This window comes from Homo sapiens, chromosome 10 (assembly GCF_000001405.40).
Source record: "Homo sapiens chromosome 10, GRCh38.p14 Primary Assembly".
NCBI lineage: Eukaryota > Metazoa > Chordata > Mammalia > Primates > Hominidae > Homo > Homo sapiens.
Window position 1 is genome coordinate 94,332,901 of NC_000010.11, and position 18,410 is coordinate 94,351,310.

An 18,410-nucleotide genomic window follows, 5' to 3' on the forward strand; every position below is an offset into this window, starting at 1 on the left:
TTATACCTAAAAGGTGGACTAAAAGCAAATATTCATATGCTGAATCATACCTTTCTCATTAAATAATCAAGCCTTAAAAAATGTGACCTCAGAACCACTTTTAAAAATCATATATAATATGCTAAAAGACTGACATACACTGTTAAGCTCATATCCTCTCACTCTGCTGGAATGGTAAAGGAATTTTCTACTTTCGTTTACTTCATGTGAAAAAAGAACTCTAAGCTCCAGAGTAAAATAACTGGCTGCTATGACTTTCAAACAGTAAGAGATCTCTTTAGTTGGACTGCTGTGCTTTTTTCAAAAAATTATCATATCACAAGAATAGGAAGCAGAAAAAAACAGCTGTTTTATTCAACTATTCACAATAGAGAATATTTATAATCTAGTCACTGAAACACGCATTTCTTAGGCCACTCCTAGAATATGGGAATAGCTGTTACATAAAATACTGTTTTATAATTATATTAATAAGAAAAAGCATTTTACCTGTTCCAAGAGGGGAAAAAAGCTCCTCATTGAGTATCCTTTGTCTCTAGATCAGAATGGTAAAGTCTTGGGCCTGGTTCTTCTACCCTGGAGCAATTCTTCCCCAGTCACCCTCCAGGGAATGTCAGAAAACGTGAAGAACTTTAGAGACTAGAATCATATTCAAACTTTCCTTGAAAGTAGCTATAATAAACACTAACACCTTTTTTAAAAGGCCAAATTAGGTAACTTCTTTAGGTGGATCATCCAGCAAAAGCCAATGAACCTGAATACAAGCTATTTTTTTCTTTTCTCAAATATCTTCATAAAAATATATTAACTCAAATTTAGAATGCTTCTCATTTCCATCCACAGTATTGAAATAAAAATATTTAAAGAGTATTTAGTTATAAAAAGTAGCTAAATGGTAAAATGTCTTCTCATGGTCTTGATTTTTCTGTGCTCTATGCCCTAATTTTAATATAGCAACTGCACTTCAGTAAGATCCAGTCCAAAGATTTTTTTAAAAAACTATAATGTACGTGAAGCTTTTAAAAGGCAGCATCATCAAGAAAGTAATTTCCAAATACTGGGGAGAAAAAAAGGCTTTTGATCTCCTTGATGGAATGACATATTCAGAATAGGGGCAGAACCCTGTGCCATGCAAAGGGTCATTCTTCCTCTTCTTCCTAGACATTCTTAGGAAGCTTTCCTTGTATAAAAAGAAAAGATCCTAAGTTAACAACTCATCTTTATGTACATCTGCACACACAAATATACAAGAAAGTCCACTGACTTCATTCCTCTACTAGTGTAGTGATGTTTTCAAATATTTCGTGAAATCCAGAGGCGATTCAGTAGCAACTTCACTGGAGTATCTTTTGATTAGCTGATTTAAATCTTCATTCAAAAATGAATCCCCTTGTAAAAATTTACCCTAGGAAAATATTTAAAGTATGAGTTAGAAGTTACTTATGCTATAAGCTAAAGCCAACCTGTGAACCAAGTTGAAAATGGCAACAGCTGACACCAACACATGCAACACAATGACAGATGCTTGGTAAGGTCTTGGACATATCCTATATTGAACGAACAGTTTCATGATCATCTCTATAGAATTTCAACCTCAGAAATCCATCCTATGATGAAATCCTAAACATTAAAAAAAAAACTACCTATAAAATAATTAAGCAAACTGGAGTTAGAGTTATTGAGATACATTGGTTTCTATTTCTTCCTTTAAAAAAATGAAAAATATCCCATACCTTTATTTTGGGGTTTGAAGATTCAACAGGAGGATTGAATGTCATTTCTGCCATGCTATATGCCTCAAAAAGTTCAGTAGCAGATCTAAATCACAAACACAAAAAATGTAAAGATACCACCACATCTGTGTAACTCAAAAATAATTAGATTATACTCAGAGAATGATTCATTCTTAACCCATATATTAAGGTATAAGATTTGAAACTAACCAACCAATCCAGTCACTTAACAAATTCTAAATTCCCATTGTAATGTCAACATTATCCAACTAAATCCACCTCAGAGAGGTTTGGTATACATTTAGCAATACAGGCATAGACTCCAGAGAGAAAGCTAAGCTGAAGAACTCCAGTTCAGTGTGATCAAATCCCAACCCACTGATAATGCAACTAAGTATATCTTAGTCATGGGAGCCAGAGGACTGAAGCATGGAGTCATTCTCCACAGACTTAGAACACAGCTCAACTCTTCAGCTACTGGCCTGGATGAAAAACAAGGAAAGGCCATTCAGGACAGAATACATGTCTATACCCATGGCGTGTAAATGAATCCTTAATGATTTGGAATTAGTTCACACTCGCCAAAACACATAGGCAAGGGCCTACGAAGGTAGCAATTAGGCTCACATCCCAATACCCACTCTCCAGAAGCCCACTATGAGTCTCCTTTCTTAAGCCTTTGGGATAAGCTCATTCCTCATCCTTCTCCACAAAGGAAACATCTTTCCTTAGCAAAACTGCTAAGGAAAACATGCCATAAAATAATCATTATGAAGAGTGACAAAGAATTGTTTTCTCCTTTTTTCCTTTTAAAAAAAAAGGCTGGTGGGGTGAAGACTGGGGACAGGTGAGAAGTGTGAGGGAAGAAAAAGTAAATGGCCATTTTATTTAATAAGGCCAAAAGTTATCTCCATCCTACTCAGAAGGAAAGGGCTCATGGAAAACTGCAGAGCTCTTGCCTCATGTAGAGGAGGCAGCAACTGACTGACTACTGTCATGTAAAATACAAGCCAATGTCACCAAACCTCCCAGTATTTCAAGAAAAGCGGGAAATGTGAATTTCAGATGAATTCTTTCAATATTTAAAAGACAGCAACTAATTCAATTTTTTTCAAACTCTTGAGGCCAGAAAAATCGGCCTGGCCCACAGGTCACCAAACTATGATCTCTGAATTACAGAAACCAATGGGCTTGCAAACGGAAAAAACCTACAGCAAAATATTAATTCTGGGTAATGAGTACATTGTAAGGTGCTATAGTTTCAATGTGTCCCCTCCAAAATTCAGATACGGAAACTTAACAGTCAATGTGATGGTATTAAGAGGCAAAAGCTTTAAAAGGTGATTAAGCCATGAATGGGATTAACCCATTTATGCCTACTAGTGTTCCATTATCAGAACACTAAGCTTGTAGGAGTTATTTATATCCTACTGCTCAAGGTCATCGCCAAGGTCTGATTTTTCACACACAAAAAAAATTTGCAACCTCTGGCATAAATGGGTTAAAGTCTTTATAGAAGAGGCTTCATGAAGTGAAGCTGTGGCACTGCTCCCATTCTGTCCTGTCTGCCATGTGAGGGCATGGGGTTCCTCCCCTCCAGAAGATGCAGCAACAAGATGCCATCTCAGAAGCAGAGAGGCGCCCTCATCAGTCAACCAAACCTACCAGCACCTTGATCTTCAACTTCCCAGCCTCCAGAATTCTGAGAAAATAAATTTCTGTTTTTTTTTTTTCAGACGGATTCGCTCTTGTCACCCAGGCTGGAGTGCAATGGCGAGATCTCGACTCACTGCAATCTCCGCCTCCCGGGTTCAAGCAATTCTCCTGCCTCAGCTTCCCAAGTAGCTGGGACTACAGGAACCCACCACCACGCCTGGCTAATTTTTGTATTTTTAGTAGAGATGGGGTTTCACCATGTTGGCCAGGCTAGTCCTGAACTCCTGACCTCAGGTGATCCACCCGCATCGGCCTCCCAAAGTGCTGGGATTACAGGCGTGAGCCACTGAGCCTGGCCCTCTGTTGTTTATAAGTTACCCAGTCTTAGGCATTTTTTATGGCACCATAAATGGACTGAGGGATTTTTTATACCATTTTCTCTCTTTCTCTGTATAACTTAAGTATTTCCTGTCTGTATTTAAAAAAAGGTAATTACTGGCTGGGCACAGTGGCTCACGCCTGTAATCCCAACACTTTAGGAGGCCAAGGTAGGTGGATTACCTGAGGTCAGGAGTTCGAGACCAGCCTGGCCAGCATGGTGAAACCCCATCTCTACAAAAATTACAAAAATTAGCTGGGCATGGTGGCGGGTGCCTGTAATCCCAGCTACTCGGGAAGCTGAGGCAGGAGAATCGCTTGAACCCGGGAGGCGGAGGTTGCAGTGAGCCGAAATTGCGCCATTGCACTCCAGCCTGGACAACAGAGTGAGACTCCATCTCAAAAAAAAAAAAAAAAAGTAATTACTATTTTTCACCTTTCTGTACTTGTGAAAATTTTGTAAGTAAACAGTTCAGGGAAAAGAAGACTCTTTTAGGAGGACCTTTTCCCCATCTGGGTGTGAGGTAGATGCTGGAAGTACCCATCCAAGCTGCTTATAGGTCAGAAGGTACTCTGCAAGGGCCAAAAAAAGAAAAAGCTGCCCTTCTGGATGGCAGTGTTCCAAAGCACCTCTTTTCTTCCCTCTCCTCATTTTTTTTTTCTCCTCATCCTGCCCTAACAGGGCCATTCAAAAAAAAAAAAAAGACCGAGCGAGCGAGAAAGCAAGGAAGCTTAATTTGGTTGACTTGTGTTTTATCTTCACATGAAGCACCTATAGCCATAGATTATTCATTGTTGAACCTGAGTGATGGGGGGCATATGGACATTCACTATGCCATTCTACTATCCTGTATGTGCGAAACTTTTCACGATTAAAAAAATGTTTTTCAAGTTGAATGACAGAAGAAGAAAAAAAATGTTTTAAGTGATCAACAAAATCATAGCATGTTTTCTTTCAGAACAATTCAGGAATATGAAGCAAGACCAATCCAGATACCCAACTGGCACTTTACATTTTGTAGTATGTTACTTTATGAAACAGTCTTCTCATAGTAAGTGGCTATCAGCTCAATTCTGTAGTTTTAGAATAAGGCAATGCTAAATATTACCTTCGACTCAACTCTGGTTTGAGTGCTCCAGAGCCTTCAGAAGGTGCTCCAGCGATCAGGTGGGCTGCAAATCTCTGCACTATGGGATGATAATGCCTCTGAAGGGAAAACGGGACAATCACATTCTGCACAGGTCAGTCCTTTACAAAAAACACTAGCCACAGCAAAGATTTTCTTAAATAAAATTACACCAAATTTTTTTTCATCACCTATGTACAGTATATGTAATTCATTAGAAGCACATACCCACAGAAAGAATATTATCTTTGCTAATAGGATTAAAACACAAATCAAGTTACCAGTGAAGTAGTTTAGTCTTGCTTTTACAATATAAATAGAAAAATCAAAAAGCAATTCCTCTTTCAGAGTGAAAAAAGTTAATTTACAACAGGTTACCTGCCACTTCTATTTTCTACAAGTCTCACTCTAATGCTGTCCATACTGTAGGATCACTGCATAGGTGAAACCATCTTGAAACAGGGCTTACTAAAGTCTCCTTGGATAAGACTCAACAGAAATGTACCTGATAACAAATCCTCTGAAGAGTGTTAGGGAAAGATTTCAATAAAGGGAAAGGTTTCAGTAAATCTTCCACAACTGCACCCTACAGAACTGACACTGTTTTCTGCTTCCTTAGAAAATGTACCTCAACAGCTTAAAGAATAGTAACAGCAAAGTAAAATGTAGCATACTAACACAGGAATTCTAAAAAAGGCAGCCCCAGAACAAAATATAATTAAGTACTCTGGCAATAACAACTATTTGAAGAAAAACTGGAAAACAATTATTCACAAACATCCCCAAAAAGAAAAAAACCAGGGCCACTCTTACCCGCAGAGCATGCAGTTCCCACAGAGCAGTGTTCTGAGCATTGCAGTACTCAGGCTCATCCAGTTCAGGAAGGAAAACTCCACTTCCCTGAGATTCACTGTCAAGCAGTAGATCTGTTTTGGGGAAAGTCTGCAAAAATGTCACATAAAAAGAATTGGTTAAATTAACATTGTTAATATAAGAGGTGTTACTGGTTTGTAGTTGTATTTGCATTTAAATTTATGGTTGTATAAGAGCTTTGCATAAAGTCTTTACACCTAGATTTAATAAAAAACAATTTAAGTTTATATAGTAAGAACAAGAGTTGCAAAAAAAAATTTTATCTTTGCTTGCTTTGAAAATTAATTTTATCTTGCAAAAGAAAAAAATATGCTTCTCACCTTGCAATCACACTTTTAGAAATCTGATAGAAATAATTACATCAGATAAATACATAAAGATATTCACTATAGCATCATTTGTAATAGCAAAAAAAGAAATAACCTATATCAAGAGAAATAGAAAGAAGCAGAAAAACCAGACTGCCTACATTTGAATATCACTTCTACCACTGACTGGCACTGCTACTCAAGCCAAGACACTTAACCTCTCTGGACCTCAGTTTTCCCACATGTACAATAGGAACAAGAATAGTAGCTACCTCAGAGTTATGAAAATTAAATTTTTGTAAGGCATTTATAACTGGAAGGCACATAGTCAGAACTATGGTGTTTGTTAAGCAAAGAATTAAATAAACCTTACATAAAGAGAGTAGTGACATTATAATGTGTTTACCATGATTAAATGCTAAGGTTAAAAAAGTGGTAGAATATATAGCATAATCCTCTTTCCATTAAAATACAAAGTTGAGTTGTTTCTATGTGTATGTGTTTATATATGAACTTTAAAAGGCTGCTGGAAAAATACCCACCAAATGGTAAATGGATACCCACCTAATGACACTGAGAAGTGTCAATAGGTATAAAATGCTTTTTTTCAATTTTATATACCTCTTTTGTCACCTGATTTTGTTACAAGTGTGAATTACTTCTGTAATTGAAATAATATAAAAGGGGGGAAAAGACATGCCTCAAACAAAAAAAATCATTGCATTATAAGAACTTAGCTCTGTTCATTTGTATCACTACTTACATGCATTAATATTCTGGTAGTTGCTAAAATGCCAATACTTGAATTTGGAAGAACATGAAGAGCAAGGGTACAAAGGCGTTTGATGAAGGCAAGAGCTCGCTGCTGAGAAACTTGCTTTCTGCGCTTAGTTAGCATGACATCAAGGCACTGGAGTACAATCTCAACACCTTCATTGGTAGCACCTAAAACAGCAGACATATTCTTCAGAGCTGTTCTCATTACTTTTTCATTACGCAACTGGACTGAACTTCAGATAAACCCAAGATAAACTTTTGTACCTGTCCCAAACCATTTCTCTAATCAATGAGGTAGTGCTATACTGCTAAGGAGATACAGCGGGCTATACTTACTGCATCTCCAGTCAATTCCAGAAGCTCTTTCTCCAAGTCTTACATAAGATTAAATACAGATGCATGGCACTGGAAAGTCACCATTTTATGTACCTGTTCCTATTTCTCATTTGTCTACAATGATGGGTCATAACATATTCTTAAAACATAAATACATATAAAAGAAACATTATCTAAACATACATACCTGCATGTAATTTGAACAGTGTTTTGTAGAGATGTGTGTAGAATTTCAATGGATCAATATTCAGAACATCACCTTTGAAATGACAACAAACACCAATTAGGTATGTTATAGCATTCAAAGGTAAGGCAAACAAAACTTGATTAAGAAAATATCATACCTTGTCCAGAAAGAATATGAAAAGCAGTCTGGACACAGTGAAGACTTTCTTGATAGCTTAGGTCCTTTAAAAAAAAAAGGGGGGGGTGAGGGGGATGGAATATTAAGAATGGTAATTGCCATTTATAGCTTTAAAAAAGAACTTTAAGGCCAGGAGCAAAGACTCAAGCCTGTAATCCCAGCAATTTGGGAGGCTGAGGCAGGCAGATCATTTGAGCCCAGGAGTTCAAGACCAGCTTGGGCAACATGGCAAAAACCCATCTCTCAGGGCCGGGCGCGGTGGCTCACGCCTGCAATCCCAGCACTTCAGGAGGCCGAGGCGGGCAGATCACGAGGTCAGGAGATCAAGACCATCCTGGCTAACACGGTGAAACCCTGTCTCTACTAAAAATACAAAAAATTAACCGGGCATGGTGGTGGGCGCCTGTAGTCCCAGCTACTCGGGAGGCTGAGGCAGGAGAATGGTGTGAACCCGGGAGGCGGAGCTTGCAGTGAGCCGAGATCACGCCACTGCACTCCAGCCTGGGTGACAGAGCAAGACTCCCTCTCAAAAAAAAAAAAAAAAAAAATTTCTACAAAAAAATAGAAAAATTAGCCAGGTATGGTGCCCCACATCTGTAGTCCCAGCTACTCAAAAGGCTAAAGTGGGAGGATCACCTGAGCCCTGGAAGGTCAAGGCTGCAGTGAGCTGTGATTGCACCACTGCACTCCGGCCTGGGCAACTGAGTGAGACCCTATCTCAAAAAAGAAAAAAAAGACCTATAAAGGTTATCTTTAAGATAACCTAGTATGAGGCAGATTTACAGGGTGACTATAGTTTACAATAATCTATTATCTATTTCAAAATAGCTAGGAGGGAAGAATTTGAATGGTTGTCACATAAAGACACATATTTAAGGTGACTGATATCCCAAGTAAAATATTTACAAACTATATTATATGAATATATTTAATTATCACATATACCCTGAAACCATGTACATCTATTATGCATCAATTTAAAAAAAAAAAAAAGAAAACAGGTCAGACAACCCTCCTGCTTAAAACTCTCCAATGGTTGAAAACGTTCTACATCTTGACTGTGGTGGTAATCATATGATCATAGGCCTTTGTCAAAATTCATAAACTGTACATCTAAAAGGGGTTTTACTGTATACAAAATATATCTCAATAAACCTGAAAAATTTTTAAAATAGTAATTACCATTTATATCTTTTAAAAAATAATTTATTATTACTTACACCAGACTCAATGAGAGTATGAAGAACTACTAACAGATCATCAAAAAATTCCACATTTATAAGGTGAGCAAACCTGGAATCAAACAAAACAGTTAATCAGTGAACTAAAAGCAGAAATAAAGCTGGTAGAAATTAAGCTTGACTTTAAAACTGTATTTTTAATATTCTTTATTTCGAAATGTTAGCTATGAAAGACATGGCAATTATTGATACTTTTCATTAATTCAGATTGGCCTCTTCAACAATTCATACACCATTGAACACTAAACTCAGTAGAAATATATAAGGCACTGAACAAACCAAAAATATTTCAAAAATCCTTCTGCACTGAGAAAGAAATTACTAGAAGCAAACAACTTCCTGAGGAAAGTTTAGGAGGTATCCGGCAGGATCGGCTTCTAAGAAAACAGGTGGTGGGAAGAGAGACAAGGAAAGATTCTGCTACTTACAAGAATATGGACCTTATGACAGCTTTAAGGATAAAATGGAAAGAATACTGGACCCCAGTATCTAGTTCAGGCTCTGCTCTTAATTACCTGCGTGATCCTAGGTAACTCACTTCACTGTCCTGGGCCTCTATTTGTAGAAATAACTGAGACCACCCAATAGGGTTAAAGAAGAATCATATGAGCTGCTAAATTTGAGAGTTACTCCATATACTATAGTAGACACTGAAGTAGGTTAAAGTCAGGACATCTCTTCAATATTAGCAAGAAGTCTTTGATCTATGTAAATCTTAGAAGAATAAAAGACCTTATGAGTGACATATTCCATGCATATCGGTACAACTTTTTGGAGAAGCAATCTGACAATTATTTATCAAAATTTAAAATGAGCATACCCTTTGATCTGGCACTACATGCACACACATGCATGAAGATACACACACACACACACACACACACACACACACGTGCGCAAGTATTCCCAGTGCAAATAGGCGACTGACCAAATAAAGTACAATATATCTATAAAATGGAGCACTATAAATTTTTTAAAAATTAAGTGATATATATGTGATAAGGGAGAGGTACCAAAAGTAACTGTTTACAAAACCAAAAAAAAAAAAAAAAGCAAGTTACAGGACACTAAACATAGCATGATTCCATTTGCATGAAAGATGGCAGGCAGGCCCGGTGCGATGGCTCATGCCTGTAATCCCAGCACTTTGGGAGGCCGAGGCGGATGGATCACCTAAGGTCAGGAGTTCGAGACCAGCCTGGCCAACATGAGGAAACCCCATCTTTACTAAAAATACAGAAATTAGCCAGGTGTGATGGCACATGCCTGTAGTCTCAGCTACTCGAGAGGCTGAGGCAGGTGACTGCTTGAACCTGGGATGTGGAGGTTGTAGTCAGCTCAGATTACGTCACTGCAACCCAGCCTGAGCAACAGAGCAAGACAGTGTCTCCAAAAAAAAAAAAAAAGGTGGCAGATGGCACGCAGACAGACTACATACATATATAGGAGGGGGAGCTTGCAATTTTAAATTGTATATTCTTTTGCATTATTTAAATTTTTTAAATGACCATATATTATTTTTTAAACTTTTTTAAATAAAGGAATTAGTTATTAAAAAACAAATAGCTGGGTCGAGCATGGTGGCTCACGCCTGTAATCCTAGCACTTTGTGAGGCCAAGGCTGGAGGATGACTCACTCAGGAGTTCAAGATCAGCCTGGGCAATATGGTGAGAGCTTGTCTCTATTTAAAAACAAAAATAAAAACAGCAAGTCCTACACAATGTAGGAATAATCCCTTCTCTGACCAGCCTCTCTGAAGATTTTTAACCACAAGGACCGTATCACCATATAAGGAAATGCATACCATTGCCAAATAGCTCCAGTTATTAGAAAGTAATTTCTTATGATAAACAGAACTTGCCTTTTCTATATCTTCTAGCCATCAGTCCTATTTCCAACTCTATTCCTAAAGTTGTACTGCCCAACAATGGTAGCCACTAGCCACATGTGGCTGTTAGGCACTTAAAATGTAGCTAGTCCAAATTAAGACACAAGCGTAAAATATAAGTGTTCGAAAATATGTTATGAAAAAACACCAAACAACTCATTAATGTTTAATATTGTGTTAAAATACTTCAGATAAATCAAATCCAGTAAAATATATAAAAATTAATTTCACCTGTTTCTTTTTATCTTTTTAATGTGGCTAATAGAAAATTTTAAATTATATATGTAAGTTCACATTATATTTTTACCGAATAGCAATGTTCTATAGGATACCACCTCAAAAAATTGTGGAACGCTATCATGACAACCACAACCCTTACTCTAGCTCACATCCTGACAAGGCCATTAGTGTTGAGTGAATACACCAAAAGATCTATCTTAGCAGAAACACATTACACAGAACTAGAGAAATGATGTACAGCCGGGTTAAAATAGACTTAAGAGTCATCTGCATGATCCACTCAAACTATGACGATGGGCAATTGACTACACAGTGCAGAAAGAGTCAAGAACTGAGAGATTTAACCTTAGGAACACCTAGAATTTAGTAGGCAGAAAGAAGGAGTTGGTAAAGGAGATTTTAAAAATAAAAGGTTTGAGATGAGAAAATCAAAAAAGCCCACTGTTATGAATAGCTTCAAGTAAAGGCTGGTGACAATCAGAAAAGGAATGAGAACTGAGGATAATGGGCCATCATTAGGGAACTCTCGAAAATTCTTTGGTCTTTCCTATTTAGAAGGAATCTAAAAGATTTCAACCTACACAGCCCTTACTTGGCAAGACCTTCTAGAACTGCTGGCAGGAGAGGTGACCTCTGGGCCTTCTTCAATATTCTGAAGTAGGTTACAAACACAATATTCAGAGTCTCTGTGTGCTGGCAGAGGAGACAGACAAAATGACTTTAGGATAACCTGGTATGCTTTCTCCTGAGTGAGCATAAGTATCACTTCAACAGGTTAACTTTTTTCCCTACCCATCCCTCCCCACAATGCAATCTTTGAAATTTTTAACAAAACAGAATGAAGATATACACCCTGTGACTGCATAAAACTAGCACTGATCACATCACAGTTTCCCGCACATCACAAAAGTCACACATCTAAGCCTCATGAAAGAAACCAAAATTACACAGCTACAAGCTGAAACAATAAATTTCTAGTTTAAACAACTTAACGCATTTTAAAAGCATAACAGAATATGAAACTGCCTACCAGTTTAAGTTTTTTCTCAGTACTCTCTGAAGCTTCTGCCTCTCGAAGCTCTCGCTCTAGTTTCTCTTCTGCTTTCTTCCACTGAAAATAGATTGAAAAACAAAAATCTAAGAGCATATACCACAGAGTGAAAAAAGCAGAGGCAGAATACGTAAATGTCATAAAACACATACAGTAATACCACATGTTGTCTATGAATGCAAATATAAACAAAGTAGAGAAACATGGACGGGAAGTATATACAAACCAAATTAAAGATGGTGTCTCCTGGGAAGAAGGTAGAAGAATGAGATTGGAGAGAGAAAAGAAATTCCTACTCTCTCACCTATGGTTTCTTTCTTTTCCAGGAAAAAAACTAAAGTAAATCTATTAATATTTGCTCATTCTGAATAGCAGATATCTGGGATATGCTATCATTTTCTATTATTAAAGTTTTTCAAAAAAGAAAAAAAAAAGGAAAGAACATGTTGAGCCCAAAAATAATGGCTAGGATTAAATCATCTATAACTTGGAAGCCAGTCACCAACAATACTTCCCCAACACATTTACATACAATGCATAAAACTGGGCCCTATAAAGAAATTCAATAAAATATCCTTTTTTTTCTACTACCTAATGCTGTAAGAGCAGTAAATGATAATTTCTAAGCTGCCTGAGGCACAGGGAACTGAAAAATTGTTTCCTTCTCTCATGAGAAGTTGTTAAAGAGCTGCCATGTTCTTATTGGTCTTTGTTTCCTCACCTCATCTATACACATGCTCTTCCTAACAGAGCTATCCAACCTGCATTAGGATAGTATAATATAAATAGTTAAAATATGTATCTTCTTTTGTTCACAATTATTAAGTCTATTTTGATACTTCCATCATGTTTTCAAAATTAGACCCATTCAAAGATGAATATCCCCAGAGATTACTTTTGTTTTTACAAGCAACTTGATCACTCTAATAAACTGTTTAGAAATGTTCTGAGATGTGATGATAACAATAATAGTGATGATGGTGGTGGTACTAAAACTAAGGTTTATAAAGCCTGCCAAGTGTTTTATATGCATCATCTCATTTAACCTGCACGATTACCCTGCAAGGTAGGTACTATTATTAGCCCCGTTTATCAAAAAATAAATAAATAAATAAATAAAGTTTCCAAAGTTTCAGTAAATAAACAAGCGGCTGAAATTTCAACCCAAGTTTAAAATACAAACCAACAAAGAAACAAGATTCAATTAACAGAAACTCACTTTGCTGCCAACTTCACGTGAATGCATCTTTTCTGTTAAGGAAGGAATCTGTGTATCATAACTCTAAATTGATCTAAAAAGCCAAAGGATAAAAGCCAGCATGGCAAAAATATCTTTTCATCTATTGCTCTCCTTGCCAATCATTATCAGTTAAAACTGATTTAAGAAAACATTTCTTTGCAGTAACAGGAAAAGATAAAATTCTCTAAATGATGTATTTCAAAACTTTTATGTTTATGATTTAACTATGATTTTTACATGTGCCTATAAGTTTAATCTAAGATCAAATAAACAGAAAATTTAAATGAAACAAAAGGGGAAATAAGTCAAACCTTTCTCTGCATTCTTGATAGAGATTTTCTCTTTTCTTTGAAAGTCATAAATTTTTTTGGTTTATTAATGTCTTCTGTATCTTTTTTCACTTCTACTTCCTTGATTCTTAGGCATAAAAATGTTTTTAACATCTAATATTGGAAAAAAAACACAAATATACAGCTTAATATTTATATTGCCCTCAAAAACTTTACATAGAAAAGCATTTAACAGTGTTATTTCCCTCGTTCATGAAAAAACCTTCAAACATCTTTTATAACATTTTACACCAACTTCTTTTATCTGTATGCTATATTAATAACTTGTGTCTATGGAAGGACGGGAGCAAACATACAAAACGGACGCTAGCAAATACTAACTAAATATACAAAACTTTCTTTGCAGTTTAATGAGTATAAGGAAGAGAGAACACATGCCAACAGGATGACAAAGAGAAAACAGGCCAGGAAAAGGTTTGGACCAGTATGGGAGAAGATACACAAATTGCTGGGCCCTATCCCCAGAGTTTCTGATTTAGTAGGTCTGAGTTGAGCCCCAGAATTTGCATTCTAATTCCCAGCTGATGCTGGTCTGGGGACAAAAATAAAAATTATTGCTTTATGCCATTCAAAAATTCAGAAACTAATTTGGAAACTGGTGTTTTGTGTGATACAGCAAACTTCGCATACTCAAACACTAAGAACAAAAGGGGTTTAAAATGCTACACTTTCTCTGGATGAAATCACCCTACCGACCTCCCGCAGGCACAGCAGCATTCCTGGAAAAAACCTTGAGAACTACAGGTTTGTATTATTTTGATGTTCCAATATGCACATTTGGAAGAAAGCTGAGTATTTGGGATTACACGGCTAAAAGCACAGAATGAAACAAGGAATAACTAAAGGCATAAAGAGTGAACCTGAAGTCATTCTAGGTATCAGAAAGACCAACTCTGAATATTTTGTAGGTACTGTATGTGCTCAAAATATCACCTACCAACGAAAAATAACTCCAAATCAAATGATGTAGTTTTTACTCTAGCATCACGAAAGTTAAAGGGTTTTCCTATGGCTGAGTTTCATGTTCAAGCCTTATCTGATTGCTCTACAATTCTAAGTAAAGATGCTAAATATGCTCTGTTACTTTCATTTAATGTTTATAATTTTAGCAATTCAACTGAAATCAGATTTAAGAAAATAAAAAGGAATCTGATGCCAAAGGAAAACTGTGAAATCCAGAAATAAAATGGTAGAACAGCTTAACACCCAAAACTGTATTACTAAAGACAAATTAAAATATCTAAGACCTCAGTGAAGAAAACTATAAAATTTTACTTAAGAACATAAAAGAAGTCTTAAATAAATGGCAAGATATGATATTCTTGAATAGAAAAAAATCAATTCTGTAAATATTTTAATTCATCCAAACTAATCAATACATTGAATCGATTCTAATCAGATTCTCTGTGTGGACTATTTTGAGGGAAGGAAGTGAAAAATGGATTCTAAACTGCCTGGAGTAATATACTGAAATAAATAAGAATATTGTGGAGAAAAAAGAATAGTCATGTCTTTTATCAATTATACCCTTTCTGATTATTATTGTACCACATACCCAAATATACTATAGATATAACACAATAATTAAGCAGCATTTTATATCAGCAGAAAAAAAATGGTGATGAAATAACTGGCTGTCAGATTATATCAAATATATACATAATATAAATATTCAATATATATTAAACTATATAAAATATATATTCATTACATATATTAAACACAGATATTAAATCTGTACTCATACCACACATACAAAGATGTCAAATGGTTTAAATATTTAAATATAAAAATTAAAATTAAAAATCTCGGAGAGACTCCGTAAATTGGGATTGAGGAGACTATGTGCATAACAAAAAATATAGCTTCATATATAAGGCTGAACACAGAATTAAAAGGCAAAGTAAAAAAGAGAACAATCTGCAACCTATGTAACAAAGAGTTAATATTCTTTATGTAATGCAAGCTCCACAAACAGATAGTTTCGTTTCTTTTGTTACTATTTTATTCCCAGGACCTAAAAAAAGTGCCTGGCACATAGCAGTTATTTATTAAAATGAATATGTACTAAAAACTCATCACAAGTCATTAAGACAATTACTTTAAGAGAAAAACTGACAAATAATAAGCAGGTAAAAAAAGTTTATATATATATAAACTTTTCACCTACCTGACTAACAAAGATTAAATAGTAACATTCTGAGCAGGTAGGAGGGAACTGACACTCATATTCCTAGCAGGAACACAGTGATTAAATGTTTTTGAACAACAATTTGAGTTTGTAAATGTGATTACTGTTGGATCCAGCATCTACATTTTATAAATTTAATTCACAGAATATTCACACAATATGAAAAAATAATATGGCCAAAATGTTCTCAACACTGACTGTGGCAGCAAAAATCTAGAAAAAACTCAGCTGTTCAACAATTAGGGCACACAATGGAATACTCTGGTAGGCATTAGAAAGAATGGGATAACCCTATATGTAAGTTCACAATATAGAAAATGAAAACTGTTCCAGAACAGTTTTCAAAGTATAAGCCCATTTTTTATTTTAAAATATAAGCAAGTATATATGACTATATCTGCAAAGAAAAACATCTAGAAGGATAAATACCGAACTGTTAATAGTATCAAACATTTCAGGAGTTGACATGTTAAACACTTAAGGAGCTTGAATACTTTTTACTTCATACACTTATAAGGAATAAATTCCTCATAACAACTGAAAATCAACTTTGTAATTTAAAAACAAAATGCAAAGTAAAAAAAAAAAGGCTCACCTCTGGCCTAACTTCGTAATTTCTGCCCTTCACAAAACCAGAAATCACTTTAATTACACCAAGAGAAGCTTGGCCTAATTTATCTTGCTTAAAGAGTTTCTTCACAGCTTCACAACACATTTCAGATATCTGAAAAATAAAATGTCATACTTAACCAGTGTTTCTCAACCTTAGCACTACTGACGTTTTGGGTAACAGAATTCTTTGTTGTAGGGGGACTGTCCTAGGATGTTTAAAAGCCTCCATGGACTTTCTCCACTAGATGCCAGTAGTTAAGACTCTATCGCCACCACAGTCATCACAATCAAAAATGTATGCCGACATTGCCTAATGTTCCCTGGGGGACAAATTTGCTTCCTGTTGTGAACCACTACACCAAACTTATGTTCAGATAATTTTCTTCAGATAGACAGTGTTTAATAAATTGACATTATTTTACCAATAAATAACTTCAGAAGAATTTTGTAGGGGGAAAAAAATCACATGGTGTATAATTTTCTTTTTTTATTCATTTATTTATTTTTTTTGAGACAGAGTCTCGCTCTATTGCCCAGGCTGGAGTGCAATGGCGCAATCTCAGCTCACTGCAAGCTCTGCCTCCTGAGTTCACGCCATTCTCCTGCCTCAGCCTCCCAAGTAGCTGGGACTACAGGCGCCTGCCACCACGCCCTGCTAATTTTTTGTATTTTTAGTAGAGATGGGGTTTCACCATGTTAGCTGGGGTGGTCTCGATCTCCTGACCTCGTGATCTGCCTGCCTCGGCCTCCCAAAGTGCTGGGATTACAGGTGTGAGCCACCGTGCCTGGCCCACATGGTGTATAATTTTCTAAGGAGGACAGCAATAACCATTTACAGCAACTCACCAATTTTGACATGTCATTCATGAGAGGGACAATCAATACGATGATGTTGTTGTGAAAGTTAAAATGAGGTAGTGCCACCAACAGCTCACACAAGCTCTTCACAGCGACTTCTGCCAGTCCTTTGTATGCCTTTAAGGAAACTACATTACTTTTCTTCAGCTTCCTCTGCTTCCAATCTAATCAAAAGATAACTGTAGTTACTTTACTCATTGGTCAAAAGTTAAACTAATTGGCTTTCTTTTACAATCAATGTACATTTTAACACACATAAACACACACACACACATTCCCACACCCCTTAAAAAAAGACTTCATATGCTGGGCACAGTGGCTCACACCTGTAATCCCAGCACTTTGGGAGGCCAAGGTGGGCAGATCACGAGCTCAGGAGATTGAGACCATCTTGACCAACATGGTGAAACCCCATCTCTACTAACATAAAAAAAAAAAAATTAGCCAGGCATGGTGGGTGGCACACGCCTGTAGTCCCAGCTATTCAGGAGGCTGAGGCAGGGGAATCACTTGAACCTGGGAGGCAGAGGTTGCAGTGAGCTGTGACTGCACCACTGCATTCCAGCCTGGCGACAGAGCAAGACATCGTCTCAAAAAAAAAAAAAAAAAAGAAGAAGAAAAAAAGACTTCATAATGGTTCGATCTGCTCAGGAAAGGTCCAATATGGAGGCTACTAACTGCCACATATAGGAGTCAATTGAGCATTTGAAATGCAGCTAATACAAATTAAGATATACTCTAAGTATAAAATACACTCTAAGTATAAAATACAAACCAGATTTGAACTTAGTACTAAAAAAAACTGAGAATGTAAGACATTAATTTTTAAAATTTATTACATGTTGAAATGATAATCTGAATATATATAATATACTATTAAAATTAATTTCATTGCTTTTTAGTGTGTCTGCATTTTTTTTAAATGACATATGTGGCTCATGTTATAGTTCTATCAGACAGAGATGGTTGCACAAAGATCCCAGGAGCTTTCCAAACAGTTCAGAAATTCAAAAACAAAAGAAAAACTCCCAGGCCCTCTCACTGGAAGAACAAACACTAATAGGGTGCCAGCTGGAACACCAGAACATAGAAGCAATATCCATACTACCCACCCCCACCCCACTATACTCCACTACCTTTATGCCCTTATTAGGCCAACAGGATTCAGTGGTCCTGTTCCAGCTGA

At 36.3% G+C, this 18,410-nt stretch overlaps 1 protein-coding gene across 5 annotated transcripts in view; it reads right to left on the reverse strand.

The window, feature by feature from the left end:
- NOC3L (NOC3 like DNA replication regulator) overlaps window positions 1-18,410 on the reverse strand; it is a 48,033-nt gene that overhangs the window by 17,994 nt on the left and 11,629 nt on the right. For 2 of the 5 annotated variants that reach the window (XR_002957007.2, XR_007061982.1), the window contains exons 9-21: window positions 17,213-17,388; window positions 16,350-16,478; window positions 13,525-13,656; window positions 11,953-12,033; window positions 11,515-11,615; window positions 8,773-8,845; window positions 7,533-7,596; window positions 7,376-7,447; window positions 6,839-7,020; window positions 5,708-5,836; window positions 4,877-4,974; window positions 1,734-1,818; window positions 490-1,405 (exon numbers count right to left, since the gene is read on the reverse strand). Coding sequence is in view for 3 of the 5 variants with exons in the window: in NM_022451.11 (NP_071896.8) it covers window positions 1,277-1,405; window positions 1,734-1,818; window positions 4,877-4,974; window positions 5,708-5,836; window positions 6,839-7,020; window positions 7,376-7,447; window positions 7,533-7,596; window positions 8,773-8,845; window positions 11,515-11,615; window positions 11,953-12,033; window positions 13,525-13,656; window positions 16,350-16,478; window positions 17,213-17,388 (1,451 nt within the window). In the remaining 2 variants the exon portion in view is untranslated. Of the gene's footprint in view, window positions 1-325; window positions 1,406-1,733; window positions 1,819-4,876; window positions 4,975-5,707; window positions 5,837-6,838; window positions 7,021-7,375; window positions 7,448-7,527; window positions 7,597-8,772; window positions 8,846-11,503; window positions 11,616-11,952; window positions 12,034-13,524; window positions 13,657-16,349; window positions 16,479-17,212; window positions 17,389-18,410 lie in introns of those variants that run through there. The other 3 variants (NM_022451.11, XM_047425641.1, XM_047425640.1) reach the window with 3 other exon arrangements.